Source organism: Homo sapiens, chromosome 3, assembly GCF_000001405.40.
Source record: "Homo sapiens chromosome 3, GRCh38.p14 Primary Assembly".
In the NCBI taxonomy this organism is placed as follows: Eukaryota; Metazoa; Chordata; class Mammalia; order Primates; family Hominidae; genus Homo; species Homo sapiens.
This window is the reverse complement of record NC_000003.12, coordinates 147,844,863-147,849,178: the sequence shown is the minus strand read 5'-3', so window position 1 is coordinate 147,849,178 and position 4,316 is coordinate 147,844,863. Positions and strand designations below refer to the sequence as shown.

Below are 4,316 nucleotides of genomic sequence, written 5' to 3'. Positions count from 1 at the left end.
TTTGTGAACTATAATAAAAACTTTAATGTAAGAATTAAGATTAAATAAATAAAGAGTTAATCATCCATAGGATTGTTTTTGTATCTATTTTCTGTTCTATTCTACAGAGGATTTAAAGAAACCTATGCAAATATCTTTGATACTAAATAATGATACAAATAAGTAAATGAATCTGATTGAAGAGAAAATGTGATTAAGAAAAAATAATCTATGAGGGGAATTAGCATGCAAAAATGCATGCTAAGCATTCCTGTAGAGGTAAGAGAATTGGACCATGCATTTGGCTCAAATTTTCTCATAGTTAAAGCAAAATCATGACATTATTTTTCTGGAAAAATAGTTACCAACTCATTCACTATCCAAATGAGGATGCCAGACACCCATCTCTTATTGAAGTCCAACAGATAGAAATTTTCTCACGTTTTCCTATAGTAGTTGAGCTATTTTTATATTCATTCATTGCATCATACAACATTACATTTAATAAATAATAAATGCTGAATGGTCATTCACCTTCTACTAGCTTAATGTGTTAATTTTTAAATTTATTACTCAAATTTAGGCCATTTTAAGTTAAATCTCACAAACACATATATAATAAAAGATCATCTTGGTAAAAATTACCTGTATTTGGTGGTCTGGTGGGAGACATATTTGGATGTATACAGACTTTTTTTTTCATTTTGAATCACATCCCATTACAGTGAAAGTAGAGCTACTCCTCTTTTAGCACAAACACGCAATATTTCTGTGGAATGGTAACTATGCCTTAATACTTCATTATTAGGAATAAATTATAGCAAAATGAATTCCTGCAAAAGATATGGTTCTTATTTTTGAGAACTCAGTTGTATTAAAATAGTCTCTCAATCAAAAATTGATTATTGTATGTAATGATTTTTATAGCCAGGCCTCAAGAATTACCTGTGTTTTGATCATATCTACTTCATTATTACTTTTAAGTACATATTAAAAGAAACACACATTAAAAGAAACACACATTAACTGCTTAACACATGGTGCTTCACTATAAAAGCAAGTATAAGAAGTATTCACTGGCTTCCAATAGATAATCATTTGATTGATCACAGAATACATAGATACTGAACAAATTAATTTCAATAAGGTGGAAATAATTGAGTGGAATGGACATGGTAATCATTTAATCTCTAAGTTAGAGCTGCCACTGATTGGTTCTATCACAAACTAAAAACAATAGATGCAATGAAAGTCTGTCTTACCCTTTGAATGACTTCTATGTTAAAACAAATGTTGGAACTAAAGATGTCACACACAAACAGATAATGTCATTATAGCATTGTGCCTGGCAGTTCAAAGGTGAGGGAACATTCCTAATATAGGAAAAACTCTACCTCAGAGAGTAACACAGAATTATGATATTTAGACGTTCTAGCGCAAAACCTTACCATAAATGCTTAAAACATGTCTTGCTTTTGTAACTGTCTTCTCTATGTATAACTTGTAAATTTGAGAAGGTGCAATAGGATGTTAATAATTAAACAAGTATATCATTAAATTCGGAACATATCTGAATAGACCTTTATAGGTGTGCTATGATTTTATATTAAGAACAAAAAGCAGTATGTTAGTAATTAAGTAAATATTATAGTAAGTATAGCTTATTCTTGAAGCTTATGACTCCCCAGGGAACAGATATTTAATTTGTGGCCATGATAATAACAACCTAATGAACTTCACATCTTTCAGGAGAGCTTAATAAACTTCAAAGAAGACAAAACAAGAATGTATGAGTAAAAGTACATCCTTAGCCTTTCATTAGGCAAAATGAGCATGAGTCCTGGCCCAGCATGGCTTCCAAAGTTAGCATTCCCAACTACAAAGCAAATGTATGCAGAGAAATGTACAACAAAAGACACAGCTTTTAAAGCTCCAGTTGAGTTTCCACAAATGTTTCTTACAAAAGCCACCATTCTCTATGTTAACAAAAAGTTGTGGATCCGTTCTTCACTAAATCCTCTTTTCTTGCATAATCCACCTTGTGCACTTTAGCTTGAGTGTGTTTTATCTGATCTAATCCTGGGCTCATTCACTCTCAGATAGAAGCAACAGGATTATTTCACACTTAAGCGAAGTCCAATCTTTATGTGATCCCTAAGAGGACACCTGGCTGATACAGAATTTAAGATAAAGATTAACCAGGTGCTTGAGCAACATAATTATGTCAAATATAATAACAGTTTATGATAGAAAGTATTACGGCCAGACTATATAAAAATTTGTTTTAAAATGAACACATTAAGACATATATGTTACTATATATATTATGCATGTAATGCTTATACACCTACACACATAAAGAGTATTCATTTCAAGAAAGGATTCTACATTGTATTCAGAATTTTGTAACCCACAGAAAGTGTTCACATTTTCATTCATGTCTTTCTTTCATATTCAGCATATCCACAGCTTATAATGGGTTGAGGAGGGCCAGGCTTTGTGGCTTAGCAAATTAGTCCTTGATTTTTTTCTTTTAATGCAGTGGACAAGAAAGCCCAATAGAAAATTTTCTAAACCCCCATGAAGCTAGAAAACATGGATTAGTATGAGGTAAGTCTATCTTCTTCAGCTTGGCTCTGCAGGACCATTACACTTTTTAAAAAGTGTGTGCGCATATGCATTTGTTGTGTGCACATATATTTCACATTTGTTGAGTATATACACACACACGCATTTCCTATGTGTCGCAGATGCTAGATTATCCTTACTGATAAGAGAGGCTTACTTCACTTTAATGTACTTTAATACAGTCACAGGCTCAAATTCACTTTAATATAGCTTTCTGATTCCAGAGTTTGCTAATGTCTCGATATATTTTTTTAAAAAGTTAAAGCCAGATAAGGCTATAGAAATATTCATTTGGCTGTAAAGTCTGTATAAAAATCTATGGAATTGCTATTTCTTTTCCATTTGAAATTTGCATAGATATTTTAAGAAGCAGAAAGTTTCACATATATTTAAGAATATTGGAATGCCATTGTATATGTCTCGTGGTGTACCTCCTGGTTTTTACATCTGGAATCAGAGAAATGGAATATGAATAATATGTGAGAGAGATTGAAGAGCACAATAATATCCATGTTTTGCTGGATATTTTAGGACATCAAAATTTGTTGAAAAAAATTAACCATCTACAAAACAGAAAAGTCAAGCCATATAGAAATATATAGATCATAATGCTATCTCCTTAAGTATTACTTAGCAAAAGTCGCACTTTTCAATGATAAAAATTTCTTCATGTAACTGAGACTCAGTTTCTTTAACTGCAGAATGGGGGAACTGGGCCAATTATTAATTCCCCTTTTACTCTAAAATTACTCTCAAATAGAAAGATCACTGTATGTTTTGAATTAAAAATACATTCTAGATATTTACACTTTTAGTTATTAGAGTGATACATCAATTAATGAATCTCCTAGCAGCAAATACACTTTATGGCAGTTAAAACTGCTGTTAAAATAACTTGATAAATTTTTAGGAGCTGTGAACATTTAGCTCAGCAGCCTTGTTTCTGCAAAACTGTGTTAGTGGATATGTAAGATCATAAAAAATAGCAGTAGCATCTTCAAGAAAAATGTTCAAGCTCAGGTAGTTTACCAGATTATTAAAAATTGCATTACATGATGTTAAGTACTATATTACTTACAATGAAATTATAAGTGTCACCTTAAAATTAATAATTGAATATTTTATGAGAAAAAATGAAAACTGAAGGCTAAGTTTATGATACTAACACTTGTTCAGCTTAATCTTTCCATTTTTGAATAAAATCACTAATCTAATCCTTTGGAAATATGTGGGCAAAGTAATAAAATTATTTCACCTTTCAAATAGTCGTGTCATGTTGAAACACCAAAGTGGAAAAATAAAAAGATAGAATAAAATATGTGCAAAATTAATTCTCTATCATAAAGTGAGTTATGGTCACATTCTCATCAAACATGGCCACTTATCACTTACCACTGAGTTGGGCCCCAGGCCTCTTCATTCTTATTAGTCAATAAACTAGGAAATACATCTCTTAAATAAAATTAAAAATTAGATATAGAGTTGTCTGCAATGTAGTACATCCTGGTCACAGGTAACTTAGATTTTCATTGATGAAATGGAGGAAAGAATGGAAATTAATGTTAGATGTGTAAAAAGTACCATTAAAATACAAGATGATCTTAGAATGAAATTAAGAAAAAATGTGGGAAGAACAGCGAGACTGAGGGAAAGTTGTCTATATCATCTAAACAGATATCAATTAAACATAATTGGTTAGAATATAGTTG

At 31.1% G+C, this 4,316-nt stretch overlaps 1 annotated feature.

The window, feature by feature from the left end:
• Positions 362-3,557: an enhancer, noted in NCBI's record as "VISTA enhancer hs1573". NCBI's record gives its function as "enhancer in: hindbrain (rhombencephalon)[6/9] | midbrain (mesencephalon)[6/9] | forebrain[9/9]" and the evidence as "EXISTENCE:transgenic organism evidence [ECO:0001131][PMID:17130149]".